Genomic DNA, 20,845 nt, shown 5'->3' on the forward strand with positions numbered 1-20,845 from the left:
GGGGAAAATTTAAGCACTTAACAGTTACAATATTCAGTAATATAATTAATTTTTATTTTCCCACTTCTACTCAAAAAATCCTGTTACTAAGCAGTGTTAAACAAATGTGTTGGAACTGTGGTGTATTAACTGTCCACAAATAAAATGTGCACTAGATATATTATTCTGGGGTGGAAGCTAGGGCACAAAAGCTTTGTCTGTCTAAATCTCTTATCACTTCAGTACAATTATAACTATAGTTTACATGTTAAATAAGAAATAGGACAAATTTTGATTAAATAATGGAGTTAAATATCAGATTTTTGCATTCATGAGGGGAAACCTCTACCATGGACCTCAAGGACCTCAAAGTAGTCATATAGTATTTTTTAAATGTTAATAGGTTGTCACCAAGTCCTTTTGCTTTCTAAAGAAGTACTAGGCATCCTAGTCCCTGATAAAAACTAGTACAAACATTGAAATGTAAATGGTTTACAGTCAGCTATATACTATATCAGTTCACTAGAATGAAGCTTTAATTGTTCAGATTCCTTTAGTAACAGCAATGGTCTAGGAAAAAATTCTTCCACCAACAATGTCAGTTTCCTTTCTATAAAAGGTTAATCCACGTGGTCTTCAGAATGTCTTCCAGCTTTATTTATTTATTTATTTAGAGACACAGTCTTGCTCTGTCGCCCAGGCTGGAGTGCAGTGGTGCGATCTCGGTTCACTGCAACCTCCACCTCCTAGGTTCAAGCAATTCTCCTGTCTCGGTCTCCCAAGTAGCTGGGATTACAGGCGCCCGCCACCACGCCCGGCTAATTTTTCTGTTTTTAGTAGAGATGGGCTTTCACCATGTTGGCCAGGCTGGTCTTGACTCCTGACCTCAAGTGATCCACCTGCCTCGGCCTCCCAAAGTGCTGGGATTACAGGCGTGAGCCACCGCGCCCAGCCTGTCTTCCAGCTTTAAAGCTTTGACTATGACTTTTATTTTAATGTCCCATTCTAGTTACCATGACACTCTAAAATGAAGCAAGTAATCTTGACCACAGAGCTTTAATTTCTGATCAGATTTGCCATTTCAATTTCAAACTAAACTCAGGTTGAGCTTCACTTAGTTTTCTCAACTATATCATGTGCATTATTACAGCTTTTCATGTTAATATTAACAGTTCCAATTATTTAAAATGCGTTTTCCTTTCTATACATACTACTGACCAATTAAACTCTGCCATAATTGAATGACTATTATCTAAATATTTTGTTGTAACAGTCATAGTTTAAGCAACAACCTTCAATATCATTTCAAATATGCTTTGAAAGCAAAATTTTAACATTAAGATAACAAGGGAGAAATACTCAAATCATAATATAAAACTCAATATATCAAAACACACTTAAAATTCATGAGCAAATTTAAAAGGGACACATTATACAAAAAATCAAGCTGATTATCAATTTTAAAAAAATTCCCATGAAAAATGATATAAATATGCTACAGGAAACACAACAGGTGTAATGAAACTTGACAGTCATCACTAAACTACTGGAAATAATTCTGAGAAGACACAATTCATATATATACTATGGCAAAATAAAATTCAACTGTACTTAGAATATCTTGTTATTTTATTATTTTATCCTATCAAAATAAGCTATATAATCTGACTCAAATAGGGCTCTAAAATGCAGCTCTGATTCAGTTACTTGATCTAAAATGAATCTGAAAGCACCTGACAGAAAATATATAGAGATATTAAGTAGTATTTAATCTTTCAATGATGACACTTATTGAATCTGAATAATCTGTAGCATTGATCTTTTGATCTTTTCCTACCAATTATTAGTATGCAGTTATTGGCAATACCAGAAGCAGCTAAAAACTATAAAATCAATAATTTAAACTTATGTTTAAGGATAATTATATAAAAGTCATTATATAATATTTACTCAAAGCATTTTTCTCTAGACAAAGAAATATTTTTACTTTAAGCTCAGGGAATTTGTTTCTAAGAGAAGTCAGAACAAAATGCCACAGTTCCTCCCACTCACAATTATACAAACATTCACTGACACAAATCTCAAAAGCCCAATAAAATAACTTTAACGTAACAAATGATTTTGCAAGACTATCTCTGATCAGCCAGACCAATTTAGGAGCATGTGAAGGGAAGTGTCTGGACATTAGTTTTACTCGAGTTTTGGCTTAATTGTACTTAACAAAAAATTAGTATTATACTCATTTCTAATTAATCATATGACCACATTTCTGTCCTTTTTCTCTATATACACACATATATTTTATGACATATTTATGTACCTATTGCAAGCTATTCTGCTTAATCACTATTTACACATATATGTGCAAAAATTCTTTTACACTACTACCTCTGCTTTCCATATTACCCATCACTGTGGCATATGGTAATCACAGCAGCTACTCATCTGTTTGCCCTTATTTCCCTGCAGAGGGAATTAATTTCTATCCTATTCATTTTATTAATGGTAATATAATTACCCATAATATAAAAATGTCATTAGTAATTCAAAGAAAAATGTAATTATTTAAACAAGTAGTTTTTTTGGTTTTTTTTTTTTTTGAAGTCTTGCTCTGTCGCCCTGGCTGGAGTGCAGTGGCGCGATCTCGGCTCACTGCAAGCTCTGCCTCCCAGGTTCACGCCATTCTCCTGCCTCAACCTCCTGAATAGCTGGGACTACAGGCGCCCGCCACCACGCCCAGCTAATTTTTTTGTATTTTTAGTAGAGACAGGGTTTCACCGTGTTAGCCAGGATGGTCTCGATCTCCTGACCTCGTGATCCACCAGTCTCGGCCTCCCAAAGTGCTGGGATTACAGGTGTGAGCCACCGCGCCCGGCCTAAAAAAAGTAGTTTTAATATCTTCTTTTTTTTTCTAATAGAGACAGAGTTTGCTATGTTGCCCAGGCTGGTCTTGAATTCCTGGGCTCAAGTGATCCTCCTGCCTTGGGCTCCCAAAGTGCTGGAATTACAGGCATGAGCTACTATGCCTGCCCTAGTTTTTAATTTAATGATGGAAATTTAGGAGGCCTAAGAGATTTCATCAAGTAAGATAACAATACTAGTATAACGGGTCTATAAAATACAAGGTCTTTTTCAGACTTTTGTAACTAATCTTCCTTTTGATGGACACTTATGATGAAGGAAACCTGTAGCTCGCATATTGAACTCTTTTTCCCAAGAACTTAGTCCAGGTAACAGATTCCATTTATACCAGTGGCAACATGGTAGGTCTCAAGTCTTTAGCAGCAATAGTCTAGAAGATTGTAATGTTGAAGTTCCACTCCTAGAAAACAGACATTTGTTCTTTATAAAATGAGGTAGGACATGGACTTCAAAAGTAAAGAAGGAAGTTGGGGACTGCCACTGAAAATAAGGAGACTGTATACTCCAAAGCTGCCTTCTTAGCTTGAAGTCAAACTCACACCTCTTTAAATAACAAATTCCAGGAAGATCGATACTTCAAAAACTGTAATGAAGTTCACACTTATCAAATCTCTCCCCTCGCCCTCCTACCAGCATCAAGAAACAGATCACTGACCTATATTCTTTCTTTAAAACACACACATAACACATAAACAAACACACATAGAGAGTTCTAAGTTGGTTTTTGTGTAGAGTGTGCCTTGACTGGCTTTTTCCGTTAAGTCATTGGTTTGAAACATTTAAAAGGGTCCACATTGCTAACGTGGCTTTGCCTTAAATTGCAAAACCTGCACTTTAAATGTACATTAATTACAAAAATTTTAGCAAGTTGTACTATGCATATTTGGCAAAACAGACCAAAAACGAAGCAAAATCACCACTAAATGCATAAAATTAAAAAAAAAAAAAGGAGTTGCTATGTGTATTTTAGAAAATACTTCTAAAGTAAAACAGGAATATATCTCAATAGTGGAAATGAGATCTGAAAAAATTAACAGACACTATTTTATTTTTCATTCATTTTGTTTTGAATGATTTTGTTACTTTAGTGATTTTTTTTAAGGTGAGTGAAGTAAATGGTAAATTATGAGAGGGAAAAAATGCAAAATTATTTAACTGTAAGGAAACTGTGCCACTAGGGAAATCTTAAAAGGGAACAAGATGTATTTAAAATTTTTTGACTGGGACATCAAACAAATCCCCTTTACAGAGCAAAGGCAATAACATCAATTAAACTTAATACATATGCCAAATTACTGTATCTCATATGTCACAATAATCTTTGGTTAAAAATTCAGATTTAATACTTATAAATATCTAGACTTAGAGTTATACATGATTCAAGTATACCCATATATCTTCGGCTAAAATCAATTTTGGAAAAAATGTTTAAGTAGTACTTTCATTTCCTACACATTTCTGGTTTAGGCAAATTTTATAAAATTCATTACTAGGTAGCGTATACTTGCTACCAAGTTAAAGAATAATGATGCTGCCTTATTCTCAAATGATTAATTTAGGTAACAGTTACATATATTTTTTGAAGTAATATATATTTAATGTAACAGATTGGGCACTGTGGCTCACACCTGTAATCCCAGCGCCTTGGGAGCCAAGGTAGGCAGATCACTTGAGGTCAGGAGTTCGAGACCAGCCTGGCCAACATGGTAATATTCTGTCTCTACTAAAAATACAAAAAATTGGCCGGGGAATGGTGGTGTGCGCCTATAGTCCCAGCTACTTGGGAGGCTGAGGCAGGAGACTCGCTTGACCCCAGGAGGCGGAGGTTGCAGTGAGCCGAGATCATGCCACTGCACTCCAGCCTGGGAGACAGAGTGAGACTCTGTCTCAAGGAAAAAAAAAGAAAAAAAAAAAGGTTCCAAGCACAATGCCTGGCACCATAGTTGTCTTCTAGTAAGTGGTAATTACTATTAGTTCCTAAATTTAAGCAATAAGACAAAATGAGTAGTTTTTTCCATATGTATTATTTTAAGTTTGTTTTTATAAATTACTATTTTCCCATTACTGGATCTGTAGCTAAAATTAGATTTAAGAAAAGACTCTGAATTCACCTATGATGGAAACAACAACTCCTCACATTAAAAACAAAAACAAAATATAAAGAAATAGAAACCAGAAATGTCAAAATCCCTAAATTAGTTACATCAAGAGCTTGCCCAACACCTTCTCTAAAGATCATATAAAATGATCATCAGCATTTTATAACAGTAGCCTAGTTGCATTAAGATGTGATTTGGATTTAAGGTCTTCTGAAATGTAAATAAACATGGTAGCTAAATTTTGTACCTTCCTCTGCTCTTGCACCTTCATGATCAGTCATTCTAGTAGAGGCTGACCTAGACTGATTAATGATTCCTGAAGGGATGTGGGGCAGCTCATCATCTCCCAGATCAGCTATCATGTCGTAGAGTTTTGTCCTGTTGGCCCCTGTAAATTAATGTCAGCAGTAGAGGTTCATTTAATGGCTACCGCTTGACTTTCCGGCAGCCTTTAAAACCAATTTATTAACAAAACAGACTATTAAGAAGTCCCAGTTATTAAAATATCAGAAAATTAAAGATGTCTTCCATTTTCCATACCATCCCCCAAAACACATTGAGTTTAAATATTTACTATTTCTGTGGAGAGAGAGATATATATAAAGATACATATCTATATTACATATATGTCTCTCTCTAAAGAGATATATATATATATATATATCTCCACAGAATACTTTAGAGAGTTCTTTAAAGTTCTGTAAGCTCACAGACACAGAAGGTATCATTAAAACAAAGGAAAATTTTGGTGTTTAAGGTTAACATTTACCAGTGTAAAGAATAAAACAAGGGCTTTTCAACATAATTCACTGTTTTAAAAACTTAACAAAGGAATAAGTACGAGTAATTTTTATGAGGGTGCAACAAACAATTAACTTTACCTGGTGTTTCCATGGATATTTTCCTGCCATGTTAGTACAAATTTGTCATTAACAAATCAACCCCAATTTCTTTCAAAAATTTTTTCATTTTTCCCAAATTTGAAAAACCTGATTTATCCATGAGATAGATCTCTGAGTTTCTCATAATGATATGAAAAGTCAGCACTGTCATAAGCCATAAATATAAGGGAAGAATTTTGGCTGTTGCCTGGATAATTCAGGCCAAAATATATAAAACTCAAAAGCTTCTGTACCATTGTGGAATATTCTTTAACTCTGAACTTTAGAAATAGCAGAATTATTTATTTTGAACCATATATTTTGAAAGAAAATAAGTTTTAAGAATGTCAGAAAAAAACTTTGAAAAGACAATGCTTTATAATCTACATAAGTTTAAAAAAATAAAATAGGTAAGTCCAAGGTCAAACATTATGACGTTATATTTACTAACATCAACATTAATGGAAGAATCCGACTGCTATATATTAAGTTCACTGTGGCTATTTGAGTGTAAGTAACTCTAAGAACTATTACGCATCTATGTATCCTTAACAAAATGCCTGGCAGTTAAGATGGTAAAACTTAGTGGAAATAGGTGGACTTTTATACATTTATTGGTCCTATTTTACAGTAATTTCTAATTTCTTAGAAATGCTTAAACAATTTTACTTCTGGATTAGGTAATATGTTACGTAGTCTGAATTTCCTAACTAATAATAATGAAGAAACTCAGTGTTACCTGAGGATTTCCCCCCCACAGAGAAATGACTGTAAACAAATTCTCCAATAAACAAAAAACTGTCTACTGGATGTCCAACCACCAGTTACATTCAACGTAAAAGAACATAAACATTATTCTTTCTCACAAAATAGCTCCCTTTTGTAACCTTGCCACTTAAATGACTACCACCACCATTTATTTAATTTCGCTTCCTAAAATTTTGCAACCACATCTTAATTCTTCTTCAACTTGTAAAATTATAAAACGGTGGGGGCTGGTTTTAAAAAAGAATCTCCCTTTAAAGTATTCTCCAAGTTTATCTCTCTATTGACTTTAATCAAGGCTTTCAATCTTATGAATTACTACAACAGACTCCTAATTGGTTTTTCTATCTCCAAGCTCCATTTACCTTCAATCACATTTATATACTACAACTAAATTAATTTTCCAAAATTATCACATTTATTATATCTCCCTTCACTCAGAAACCACAAGTAGCAGCACTTCCACACTCTTTGGATCAAAGTTAACTAAAATCATGTACTTAACCTTTCATGTGCTTCATGATCTGATCCTATTTTTTCTACCCCATCTTATCTTTTAATGATCCACAATACAAACTCCCTTCATTTTCCAGTCAAAGCAATTTCCACATAGTTTCAGTGTTCACTGAGGTTACTTCTGCAGTATTTTGTCATATTTATCCTCACCCATTCTCAGAAAGGTGAGAAGGCTTTCTACACATACATATACACACACACACACACACACACACACACACACACACTTCCTTATCTTCTAACATGCACCTCAGCCTATCCAAATTCTACCCATTCCTCCACACCAGTTCCATCTCTTCTGTAAAGCTTTTGTTGATCTTTCAATGTTCTCTTATTTGTGTGTAACATAAAATGACTTTATTAAATACTACCTTGTAAATAATTTAATTATATGATAGTTAATGTGAAACATAATAAAGGCTTGACAAAGTTTTGTTACAGATAATGTAAAGTTAAAATCTTCTGTACACATGAACTGGGAGATATAGAAGGGAAAGAAATTAGGAGATATTATGGAACCTACTGTTCAAACTGACGATCCCAAATTATATAATATTATTTACATACTATAGCCTGATAGCTTCAGTGTGACACAGTGCCAAGTTGAGGAAATGATGCAACTTCCCTGCTCTAATCCTAGTTTCTCAAAAGGTGCCAAAAGATGAAAGCAGATTTCATTTAGTAGTAGTCTTTACTCTATTGTGCAGAGCATCTTTCAACTGCAAATTTAATGTCTTTGTTTTCTTTCTAAACCTATCCAATATTCTAAATATAATAAATGCAATGAAACAATTTCAAATAAAAAACCTGAAGTCTTATCAGCAATAAGAAAACTGTAGTAGTATAACAGGATACTAGACAATATTAATACCAATATGTAAAGGCATATTGAAGGCCCATTAAGCACTAATTAAATAAAAACTGAAATTTATAGAAGTACAAATACCTTTTCTAATTCTTATGGCAAGAAAAACTTTTATTTATTTTTTAATTTTTATTATTATTTGTGAGACAAGGTCTTGCCCTGTCACCCAGGCTAGAATGCAGTGACACAAACATGGCTCTCTACAGCCTTGATCTCCTTGGCTCTTGACCTCCTGGATTCAAGTGATCCTTCCGCCTCAGCCTGCCCAGTAGCTGGGACCACAGGCACGTACCATCAAGCTTGGCTAATTTAAAAAAAAATTTTGTAGAGACAGGGTCTCACCATGTTGTCCAGGCTGGTCTTGAACTCTTAGGCTCAGGCAATCCACCTACCTCAGTCTCCAGAGTAGCTGGGACCACAGGCATGCACTACCACACTCAGCTAATTTTTGTATTTTTTATTTTTGTAGAGATGGTCTCACCATGCTGCCTAGCCTGGTATTGAGCTCCTGGGGTCAAGCAATCCTCTCTCCTAAGCATCCCAAAGTGCTAGGATTGCAGGCATGAGCCACCATGCCCAGCTAGAAAAACTTTTCTACTACTATGAATACAACCCACCTACCTCTTAACAAATACAAAGTCCTATATAAATGCATAATCCTCTAGACTGACACAATGAAAAACATACTAATTATGCCACGTGTAAGCCAAACTATAGACTACTGTTACATTTTCAAATTCCGCTCAAACACACATACTCATGCCATGAAATTTATCTTCCTACGCCCTATATAACTGTAAGTAAAATAGTACTTTTGAACAAATCTAACATTTCCCCTTTCTCAAATGAGCCCTCCCTTTGTTGATCAACTTTTATATTCTGAAGCTTAACTGTTAGCAGGCAAACAATCTGGAAAAGATACGCTTATTTTAGCACAAAAATTTAGTTAAGTCATGTTTGCTAGATCTGTTCTATTTTCTATCATAATTAAAGCTTTCACAGCTTTATTTAATTTATTTAAGACAATTGTTGTCTTAAATAAATATGAGATCACAATAATAAGAAAAAATAACTTCAGCTGCAAAGTGACTCTTCGGTTTTAAAAAGTGCACTGATTAGAGTATCAATCTGATACATTCTGATCCTAGGCAAAATACCTAAGTTATTTTCTTGAAAGAAAAAAATCCCGAGTTAAAGGACATGAATGTTTGTTTTTAAAGAATGAAATTAAAGCCAGTAACATAAAACCACATGCCTAGTTGAAAATAACATCTCTTTGCTATGAAACAATTTTGTTTTTGTCTTTGAGGGAGGAGAGAGAATATAACTATTTTGTGGGCTCTTCGAATTAGTACTATGTGCTAAACGGAAGTAGCTTAATCATAACAGATAATTTGTAGTGTGAGCAAAGGTGTTTTTAAAAGCCTACTTAAGAGTAAGTTCTTCTTAAATGTATTCAAATACCTAATTTTGGATATTTGGCTTCAAGTCACACTTTAAACAACTGTATTTCCTGGTGACAACATGTTTTCTTGGATCTGGAATAGTAAATGACAAATATTAATACAAAACTTTAAAAATAAAAATTAGAAAATGACTTGGGGGAGCTCACTTATGATTTATATTAAAAGAAATGTTGAAAAAGTTACAAGACTTCCCCCTTTTCAAATGTATTGATAATCAGGCCAGAAGGTGCATAGCAATTCTGCAACACCAGTAACGGAGAGAAGGGAAATGGCAAAAAAGTCATATTCCATATATAGAAAAGACAGAAAAGTTAAGATAAACGAGAATAATTAGGAAAATTAAGATAAGTCCACTCACTAAGAACCAGGAATGCAAACATACATATTCCCCAAATATGAATTTTTAAAATGGGGAAAGCCTATACATCTTTTCAAGAAAGGAAATGAAATAATCTTTTCTTGGTAAGTTTAAATTTTATAGGTATAATATAGCTTAAGAGTAACAACAGGCTATAAGAATAACAGCTCCTATCAAAGGAAAATACATTATTATAATCCACAGTTTAAATTGTCCATGTTGAAAAAGAGTAACAAATATCAAAGAAAGTCTTAAAAGATTTTTAGCTGCTCTCTCATATTCTAACTAAAGCCTCCATATTTCAGATGCTTCGTTCATACTGTGATTTTTAATCATTGATTTATATGTTTTTACTAAGATATAAAATACAGCACAAATGGAGACCTTAAAAAGTTAGAAAAATGCTACCAGCCCAAAATTTTTACAAAAGATTAATTCAAGCTCCTCCCAAATTACAGAAAACATAGAAATTATTAAAAAGTGAAAGAAAACTGAGTTTTAGCTTAGATATTAGTATTGCATCAACACTTACTTCTTGATTTTCATGACTGTACTGTGGTCATACATGAGAGTATCTTTGTTTAAATATATACTAATATATTTAAAGAGCAACATGTCTACAACTTAGTTTTCTGAACTACTCAAAAAAAAAAAAACAAAAAAACAAAAAACAACAAAAAAAAAACATGGCCAGGTACAATGGCTCATGCCTTAAATCTTTTTTTTTTTTTTTTTTTTGAGATGGTCTCCCTCTGTCGCCCAGGCTGGAGTGCAGTGGCGCGATCCTGACTCACTGCAACCTCCGTCTCCTGGGTTCAAGCGATTCTCCTGCCTCAGCCTCCCCAAGTAGCTGGGACTACAGGCATGAGCCACCACGCCCAGCTAATTTTTTTTGTATTTTTAGTAGAGACAAGGTCTCACCATGTTGGCCAGGCTGATCTCAAACTCTTGACCTCAGGTGATCTGCCCGCCTCAGCCTCCCAAAGTGCTGGGATTACATGCATGAACCACTGCACCCAGCCTCATGCTTGAAATCTTAATGCTTTTGGAGGTTGAGGTGAGATGATCAGTTGAGGCCAGGAGTTTGAGATCCGCCTGGGCAACATACAGAGATCCTGTCTATTAAAAAATGTAAAAATTAGCCAGGCATAGTGGTGCACACCTGTGGTCCCAGCAAGGCGGGAGTGGAAAGATTGCTTGAGCTCAGGAGTTTGAGGTTGCAGTGAGCTACAATGTGCTACTGTACTCCATCCGAGGCAGCAGAGTGACAGCCTGTCTCAAAATAAAAAAGAATATATTTACAGAAAGGAAAGGGAAAAGCAAGTGTGGTAAAGTGTTAACATTTGGTGGGTAACCTGGGTGAAAAGTATATGGAATTCTCTGTACTATTCTCACAAAATTTTCTTAAGTCAGAAATTATGTCAAAATAAAAAGTTAAAAGGAAAAGAAAGCTTAACCCTTTGAAGCCTGAGACCAAAATAACTGCATCAAGCCTCTTTAGTTTCTTAGTTTCAAGGTACTGACTCTTAGAGTACTAATAAGATAAAGTGCATCTCAATTATATTGTATATCTCACTTAGTAAGAAAGAAATACTGAAGTGGGTCTACGTTCCAAGACAAGGCTGTCACTTTTAACCCCTTTTCCTCTTGCTGGGGGGAGGGGGCGGGCAGGGGGGTAAAAAAAAGAAGGGTGAGATGGAGTGAACGAGTTGGGAGACACAGAAACTTTAACTTAGCACTTTTAACTTAGCATTTAAAAGTCAAATCTTGAATGGGTCTTTACAAAGTTAAGAAGTCAGTATTCTTGCCATTTTTCTCTTTCCCTTCCAAAAAAAAAGAAAAAAGACTGGATTACATCTGCTGATTCCATATGGTAAAGTTAGCAAATAGTTTTCTTCCCTCTAAGAAGCTGCAGTGAAAAATCTGTAGAAGCTTATGCTAATTCAGTAGGTGTGACTTATTAACAAATTCTGGAATAAAGAAAAAAAATCAAGGTTGGTAAATGTATACAAATTTACATTTACATAGGTAGAATAAGTTCTGGTTCAATTACACAGTAGGGTGACTACAGCTAATGATAACGTATTCTATATTTCAAGATAGCTAGAAAAAAAGGATATGAGTGCTGTAACCACAAAGAAATGATGAATATGCTAACTACTCTGATTTTTATTATTCAATGTTTAAATGTATTAAAATGTCACACTGTGTCCCATAAATATTTATAATTATGTGTCATTTATAAGCAAAAATTTTTTTAAAGAAATCAAAAGGCTACAGATAATGAATTATTCTAACTTGTACAAAGCTACGTAAGGAGAACATCAGAATAATAACATGGACTAGATAAAAATGCTAAGAAATTCATGAATTACCTTTTCATGTAAAATTATATCTTAGTATTAACATGATGAGCTATTTGAATTAAGATCATTAGAAGTTTGTGATCCATAAACAGAAAAAAAAAGAAAGTTTTTATTTTCTTAAACTCTAATTTCACGGCAAGGATTCAGAGCCAACATTTTCACACTGAATTCTGTATTAAAGAGTGAAAAGTTTTCAATTTATAAACCTTCATAAAGGAAGTATAAAAAAGAAACATAATTTATTTCTGAATTCTCTTTCCTGAGACACTTTGCTAAAGACCTTATCCCTGGATCTACTTACATTAGTAGCCTCAAAGACAGTAATATTTACAAAAATGTTTAAAAATTAGAAACAAATCTATAGGTTTAACTAATGGAAGCTAAGTTAAATACACAAAAATTATATTTTAAATGACTATGAAACATTAAGAAATAATGAGTTAAATTACAACAATAATATTCTAGTTAAAATATTAAAAAGGAGGTTTTACGTATAAAGACTTTTAAGAAAAGATGGATGAATATGTGCCAAATAAATAGTCTCTGAGTGGTAGGATTGCAGGTGATTTTTATAGTTTTTCTTTATATTCCTACTTCTTATATTACTTCTTATAATACTTCTTATAATTACTTCTTATAAGTACTTCTTATAATACTTCTTATATTATCTGAATCTTATATTACTTCTTATAAGTACTTCTTATAATACTTCTTATATTATCTGAATAACAAGCATGTGTTATTTTTATGATTATATAAGCAAAATTCATTTTTTTGAAAAAACAGATATGAAATCAAAATTAAAGTGGAATGGGCTGAATAACAGAATACCTATCTAGAGAGTAAGATGTTATTGAGACATGAAAGCCTTAAGTTATGAATTTGGGGTCTCCAGTACTGATTCAGTCAAAGAAGTCCACTTTCATCCATTTCATATACTGAGTTCCTCTCTGTTGTTTAGAAAGAAGAAAAAATACAAACATATATAAAGGAATTATTTGTTGACATAAAATGATGTTTTCTATGATGGTAGTAGGCAAATTATAATATTGTGTGTACTAAGGTCCAATTAAAAAAAAAACATAAGGTCAAGCACGGTGGCTCGTGCCTATAATCTTAACACTCTGAAAAGCTGAGGTGGAAGAATGGCCTGAGGCCAAGAGTTCGAGACCAGCTTGGGCAATACAGAGAAACCCCATCTCTACAAAAAATTTTTAAAAATAAAATATTAGCCAGGTGTGGTGGCACGTGCCTATAGTCCCAGCTACTCAGGAGGCTGAGGTGGGAGGATATCTTGAGGACAGGAGAGTTTGAGGCTACAGTGAGCTATGATTTACACTACTGCACTCCAACCTGGGTTCTAAAAAAAATAAATTTTGTTTAATTTTTTAGTTTATCTGTTTCTAATATTTCTTAAACATACTTTTTTTAATTAAAAAAAAAATTTTAAGAAAAGTTTAAAAGCAAGAACTAAAAAAGACCTTGACTTACATCTTATTTGTAGACCTCAAAAAGATATAGGTCTAGTCACAGTCTATCAGAGGGGGAAAATGGAATACTTCTATTTTAAATTAGAAGCAACATTATCTAACATTTCAAAAGAAATCTTCAGCAGATTAAGTCAGTTTATGATACTATATATAAAATAAGCAATCCACTAGTAAAATAAGCTACTTTATTTCTTTAAAAAAAAAAAAATTAAACCCTAGGCCAGGCATAGTGGCTCACGCCTGTAATCCCAGCACTTTGGGAGGCCAAGGCAGGCAGATTACGACAATGTCAGGAGATTGAGACCATCCTGGCTAACGCAGTAAATCTCCGTCTCTACTAAAAATATAAAAAATTAGCCAGGCATGGTGGCACGTGCCTATACTATAGTCCCAGCTACTCAGGAGACTGAGGCCGAAGAATTGCTTGAACCCGGGAGGCAGAGGTTGCAGTGAGCCGAGATTGCACCGCTGCACTCCAGCCAGGGCGACAGAGCGAGACTCCGTCAAAAAAAAAAAAAAAAAAAAAAAAATTAAACCCTAAAATTCTAATGTCATTTTGTCTATTCTAACATAGTCAATCATGCAAATGTACTTTTATACTCAGCATGCTTGCATTATAGGTAAATGATGTTAGAACTAAACACAACCCCAGCCCAGTATCAAATGTTTTTAAATACAATAAGCAGTTCACTCTATAGTCTTTTAATTCACATGCAATAACAAAAGCTATCATAAAGTTAGAAAAGAAAATTGTGTAACAGGTGAAACCCCCAAAACTTCACTTATTAGCCTCCACAGTAAATGAAATCACTCAAAAAGGTTTTACTGAAAGAAACTCGCACACGTTTCCATTACACCTACCATTTAATATATGAATGTATTTGTCACCAAAGAAACACAAAAGAATGTCTATATTGCTTTTGCCTTTTTCTCACACTATTTTCTCCTTTATATAGTCAAAATGTTAGACAAGCAGGGGTCACTGGCTAGTTCAAATGAGTCCCAAAAATAAGTTTCAAGTCTCTCCAGTTAATAGTCATAGATCTGAAGATATTTTTATGTGGCAACTTTTAAGTTTGCTTCACCAAATGGAAATGAATTGCTACTTTGAGAGAGGTACTATAGCAGATTTACATTTTAATAAGTAAATTGATTAATATACAACATAGTGAAAAATACATCCAGGCACCAAGACACCCAGCAATGACTAAACAAACCCTACTGCCACCACTAACCTCCCACTTCTGGTTTCCTTCACCACAGTAGCCAAAAAATACTACCCAAGAGATTCTTTTTGCTATTGTTGTTGTTAGTAGTTGGATTAAGACCAGAAAGCAGAAACTACAGAAAGGGCTTTCCTATTCACTGTAGGTAAGGATTCCCAAACTAAGAAATGTAACCTGGATATGAGTTGTTTATAGCTATACTCTATGTATCAAAAATGGAGAAATTTATACTTTTCTCCCTTTTGAAAAATCTTTATTTTTTATTCCAATGCCAATATTCCAAACAATTTGGTAAAGTTTTTAAAGCTTAAAAACAATCCTCAAAATCTTTCCTTTACCCTTCTCATATATTTTAAATGATTTTCTACTTGATCAATAACACATCCTAAATTATATACAAACAAATTTCAATTATACAACAGACAAAGTTTAAAGTTAGTTGCCCCCTTTATGAAACAAAAAATTAAGTTACACAAAGAAACAGAATTGAAGAACTTTTTTCTCAATTATTGGTATACAAAAATTATAATAGTCAGAATCTGCACTTACTCTTCACCCCTTTCTTCCCCTTTCGTTCCTTCTTGTACTGTTCCTTCAGTTTACTTATTAGTCCCTGGTCTACATCCCAAACCTCAGCAGTTGGGGAGAGGTCATCTTTATCTACATGCAGCATATTATTAAAAGAAAAAAAATCAGCAGTTGGCAATGCAAGCTGTTGGCAGTAAACTGTTATAGCTTTACATAATCATAATAAAATGTACTAATAGCATATACTCAAAATACTTTAAAGGTGCAGTCTCAGTTCTGGTATTCACAACTCAAACTCTAAATGCCCATGTCATAAGTTTCTAAACATTTAATATCAACAGTTAAATGGTGCTTCATTTTCATGAACCACAAATTTGAAGGTTATCATTCATTCAATAGACTGACATTAGAAATCTAATGTTATAAAAATAGATCACTGCATCTTTATAAAAATGTTAATAAAAAATTATTCAGCCAGCATCATAAAAGCAAATGAATGAAATACATGCGAACTACTCGGAAAAGTGCAAGCTAGAAAGGTAAGTGCTGTTTCATTGATGAAAATATTCATGCACCTTCTGTCATACTGATTCTGCATGCACAGGATTAACTGTACTAATGGAGAGGCATTCTAGTCCAATATAATACATATAGTTCAAAAATACAATGTCTTGAATAATCCATACAAAGCATTCAGAGTCCCACCTCTGCCCCACCCACCCAAATAGTTCAACATCTCATTACCTTCTTCCATTGGTCTACAACTAAGATTAGCAAAAAAAAAAAAAAAAAAAAAAAAACTCAAATTCCACTGAAGAATTTTTTTAGAATTGATTTTTTTTCAGGATAAAACTAGTGATCAGCATGGAGAAGTGAAAACATACATTGCTGTACAACTGCTAAAGCTACATCAGCTATTTTAGCTGAATAATAAATCTGTATTTAACTAAATACTTGTGACTGAGAAAAATTTACTCATAGTCAACTAGAGGAAAAACAGCACTAAAAAGAGGCAGCATAAAAATAATTAAGTCTTTGAGAATTATTTTAAATATTGAGGATTTTTCCTTCCTTTGTGTGGTTTTAAAACAGCTCATAAGGAAGTTTAACACTCTGACTTGTTAAGTTTTTGATAACTCAGTATATTCTGGCTAACAAGTTTTATAAGAGACACCCTAGGCCTCACTGACTTAATCTATAAAGTAGACATAAAAAGCCTTTCTCTTCCTTTATAGATTGCTATATGCACCAAACTTAAGAAATTCTCATATTTGAATGGCACACGGAAATGCAAATATTTACTGCGCCTTGAGTTTTTCCTGCTACAATTGTCATAACTTTTTCCCTGATGGTATGATCACAGGTGGTCGGTCAGTATGTGAAAAGCTAAATCCTAAGTTTGAAATTAATCTGCTAACTTGAATCACTTGAAACTAGGTTACTCATGACTAAAACTTACACCTAAGATTATCTATCTGTCAAATCCACAAATTATAATGCTGTTTGTAATACAGTTGTAAAGAGAAAATTCACTTTACTCAATTCGCATGTATTCAAATCATGAAGTTTCCTGAAAATTATGCTGCATCAGGAATCTTTCTGTAAACTTATTGAATATACCAAGAAAAACGGGATCTCAACAATTAATCATTTGCACTCATCTTAATGAAGTTAATAATTCTTAATTTCAACTACTTAAAGCAAGACAAATTGATACATTATGAGCAAATATTTTTAAACCTCACAGAGACCAAAAAAACCCTTAAGTTGTATGAAGTTTATATAGGAAATTAGATAGAACAGAAAAATTTAATAAGAGCCAAATAGTTTTCTAAAAGACCTGTGTAGAGAGAATAAAACTGTGAATAGCTCTAACTATAGTTGACAAAGAAAGTGGAGTGAAAATGCATAGGGAATAAAAAAAGGATAAGCTTAAGGAAAAAAATATTACTTGCAAGATAATCTCAAATCTAGAAAATAAAAGTAAATTTAGGCAGTGCAAAGAACAGGTTGGTGAATGCATATGTGCACAAACAACATCCTGAAACTTGCCTGGTAAGTAACAGCTGTTTGATATTGCTTATAAGAAATAGGTAAGAGCAAAAGGGAAGAGACAGCAAAATCTTCTACATATTAATCCTTTTTTTAAAAAATCTAGGGGGAAAAAATACCAAGAAATGACGTTGAATCATTTACAGTAACTTTTTTGTCTAAAAGAAAACACAAATATGCGTAAGAAAGTTGACTCCTGACAGCTCAAACCCACAAAAACACGAAATTCTATTACGGCAATTCTGATTACCAAAGCAGATGAATTATACAAATCTATTAACTGTAGCATAAATTTGTAACTAACTTTATGCAAATACTCATACTTTATCAATTATACTTAAGTACAAACATTCAGGTGCTAATTGTATTTTGTAGTTCTATAAATCTCTACAGATCAAAGATAGGAGACAATAAATGAACATTCTTAAAATGCCTAGTCTCCATGAAAGAAAAAGCAAAATAGAAATGCCAACTATTGCTTTTGACAATGAGAAGAACTAAAAATAACTAATATTAAACTCAGACTATCTAACACAGATGACAGTGAAAACAGCGTTAGAAAGCTTGCCAAAAGGCAGTGGTTTCATAAGATAAAAAAATTTAAAGTCAGAGATACAAAGTTAATTGTTGATTGCTAATAGACAAAATAAAAACCAGATTCTCTAATGTGAGTAAGGACTAGAGTATGTTTCATTAAGACAAGACTTACTTTTTAAAAAAATCAGTGCTCTTTTACTCAATAATTTAAATCTGGGCTGGGCATCATGGCTCACACCTGTAATCCCAGCACTTTGGGAGGCCGTGGCGGGTGGATCACCTGAGGTCAGCAGTTCAAGACCAGCCTGGCCAACATGGTGAAAACCTGTCTCTATTAAAAATACAAAAACTGGCCGGGCGTGGTGGCATGCGCCTGTAATCCCAGCTACTCTGGAGTCTGAGGCAGGAGAATCGCTTGAATCCGGGAGGTGGAGGTTGCAGTGAGCTGAGATGGTTCCATTGCACTCCAGCCTGGGTAACAGAGTGAGACTCCGTCTCAAAAAAAAGAAAAAAAAAATCTGAAAGCTACCACTTTCCTATTTATAAATATATTCAAATTTCTGGCAAATGAATTCCATAAATATAAAGAGTGTTTGCATATTCATCCTCTTTGCTTTGGAAAAAATGACTATAACATCTTGTTGAGTAGAAATGATGAACTTTGGAAATACTGCATAAATCACTTGACAGTTTTCATTTCTTACAAAAATAAACTATTTGAACGATCTTGTACTTAAATGAGTTATTTTCCTTCACTAAGAACTTAAAATGTTTTAAAGATAATATTTCCGTCTCGTCTGGAAGTAAGGGACCTTTTCGATTACTTCCACTTACACAGGAGACACAGGTACTGTCAAATATTGATAGTAAAAAGCTAAATATTGAGAGTTGTCTTAAAACTCTGCTCTACCATCAAAAGTCTTCAGACAGAAAGACCAATCGGTTGTACATAATATAGAAACTATTATCAAAGAAATAATGCCATTCCATATAAATTAAATTCCTGAGTTTTTTCTTTATCCTTATGATTAAATTTCTAGCAACTTTAGGCTAAGGAAACAGGAATGAATATGTGTCAAGATTTAGCTAAAAAGATATTTGATAAGTTATTTCGATCATTTTCTTTTTAATGAAAATAAGCTAAATGTGCATCATAGAGCTCTGGTTAAATAAAATTATGGCACATTATTGACAGAATGTTATCCAGCTATTAAAAATGATGCTGACTGGGCATGGTGGCTCATGCCTGTAATCCCAGCACTTTGGGAGGCCAAGGCAGGCAGACTGCTTGAGTCCACGAGTTCAAGACTAGCCTGAGCAACATGGCCAAACTCCGTCTCTACAAAAAAAAAAAATGCAAAAATTAGCCAGGTGTGGTCACACGCCTGTGGTCTCAGTTATTCAGGAGACTGAGGTGGGAAGACCCCTTGAGCCTGGGAGGTGAAGGTCACAGACAGCCAAGATTGCACCACGGCACCCCAGCCTGGGCAATAAAGCGAGACCCTGTTTCATAAAAAAAAAAAAAAAAAAAAAAAAACGATGCAGAAGAACCATGTATTAAGTGAAAAGTGTGCATTACAAATCAACATTTAGCAAAATCCTGTTAACTAAATAAGTAAATATATATACATATACTTATAAAATATTCATCTTCACATGTATTTGTAGGTTCTAAGTTTTTTAAAACATATTTGTATTACAAAATAATTATATAATTATAAAACAATCAGGAAAAAACAATACTTTTGAAGTTACTGGAAAAAGATAAGGTATTTCCAACATTGAATGTCTGCACAGAGAAGCTAAAAGAAAAGTTAAATATTTTTGCTGTTTCTCCTGAGCAATGCTGATTTTGAAGAAAGGTACCCTTCTAAACCACAATCATTTTCAAATAGTAAGTACAAAAATGTAGTCTAGAAAGTAATTGTGGAGTTTTCTCATGTTTGAATTAATGTGTCTCTTCTATTTCCACTTAGAAGAAGAAAGAAGTGAAGGTCTGAAAATAATGCTTGAGAATTATAATAAGAAAATTGGTGGCAAAATTCAAATCTTTTAAGTACTTGATTCATTTTTTATATCAAGATAGTCAATAAATGTATTACATATTAGGTTTTTTCTCTCTTGCTATTAGCAATACTTAGTTTAAACACATAAATGAGGCATCTTTTAAAATCCAAGTGTTTGCTATCAAAGTTGTTTTTTAAAAAAAATCTAGTGATTATTCCTCTAGCTTGTAATTAAGCAAAACTTTGATGTATTAAAATAACCTTCTCCAGGCCAGGCGCGGTGGTTCATGCCTGTAATCCCAGTACTTTGGGAGGCCAAGGCGGGCGGATCGCGATGTCAAGAGATCGAGACCATCCTGGCCAACAAGGTAAAACCCCGCCTCTACTAAAAATACAAAGAGTAGCTGGGTGTGGTGGTGCACGCCTGTAATCCCAGCTACTTGGGTGGCCAAGGTAGGAGAATCACTTGAACGTGGGAGACGGAGGTTGCAGTGAGCCAAGATTGCACCACTGCATTGCAGCCTGGCGACAGAGCGAGACTCTGTCTCAAAAAATAATAATAATAACAATAATAATAACAACCTTCTCCAATATAGCTCAGTAAACACACTTTGTTCTACCTACCACACAACATGCTGATATTAAATGAGGATTGCATGAATGTATTTACTAGGAAAAACATAAATGACGTCAGCTATTACCTTAAAATATTTTTACACTTATTTTACTTCCTAATGGGGTTTTTAACCATGTACAGATAGAGAATGGTTTTCTCTTAGTTATGGCTGA

The 20,845-nt window shown here is 33.8% G+C and overlaps 1 protein-coding gene across 5 annotated transcripts in view; it reads right to left on the reverse strand.

Annotated features, from left to right (window-relative positions):
* Positions 1–20,845, reverse strand: part of STRN3 (striatin 3) — a 132,576-nt gene that overhangs the window by 19,915 nt on the left and 91,816 nt on the right. For 2 of the 5 annotated variants that reach the window (NM_001083893.2, XM_047431321.1), the window contains exons 8-9: positions 15,483–15,593; positions 5,248–5,388 (exon numbers count right to left, since the gene is read on the reverse strand). The exons of 1 other annotated variant lie outside the window; for it this stretch is intronic. In NM_001083893.2, the coding sequence (NP_001077362.1) occupies positions 5,248–5,388; positions 15,483–15,593 (252 nt within the window). The remainder of the gene's footprint in view (positions 1–5,247; positions 5,389–15,482; positions 15,594–20,845) is intronic. 2 more of the 5 variants (XM_005267569.5, XM_005267570.5) reach the window with 2 other exon arrangements.

This window comes from Homo sapiens, chromosome 14 (genome assembly GCF_000001405.40).
Source record: "Homo sapiens chromosome 14, GRCh38.p14 Primary Assembly".
Taxonomy (NCBI): domain Eukaryota; kingdom Metazoa; phylum Chordata; class Mammalia; order Primates; family Hominidae; genus Homo; species Homo sapiens.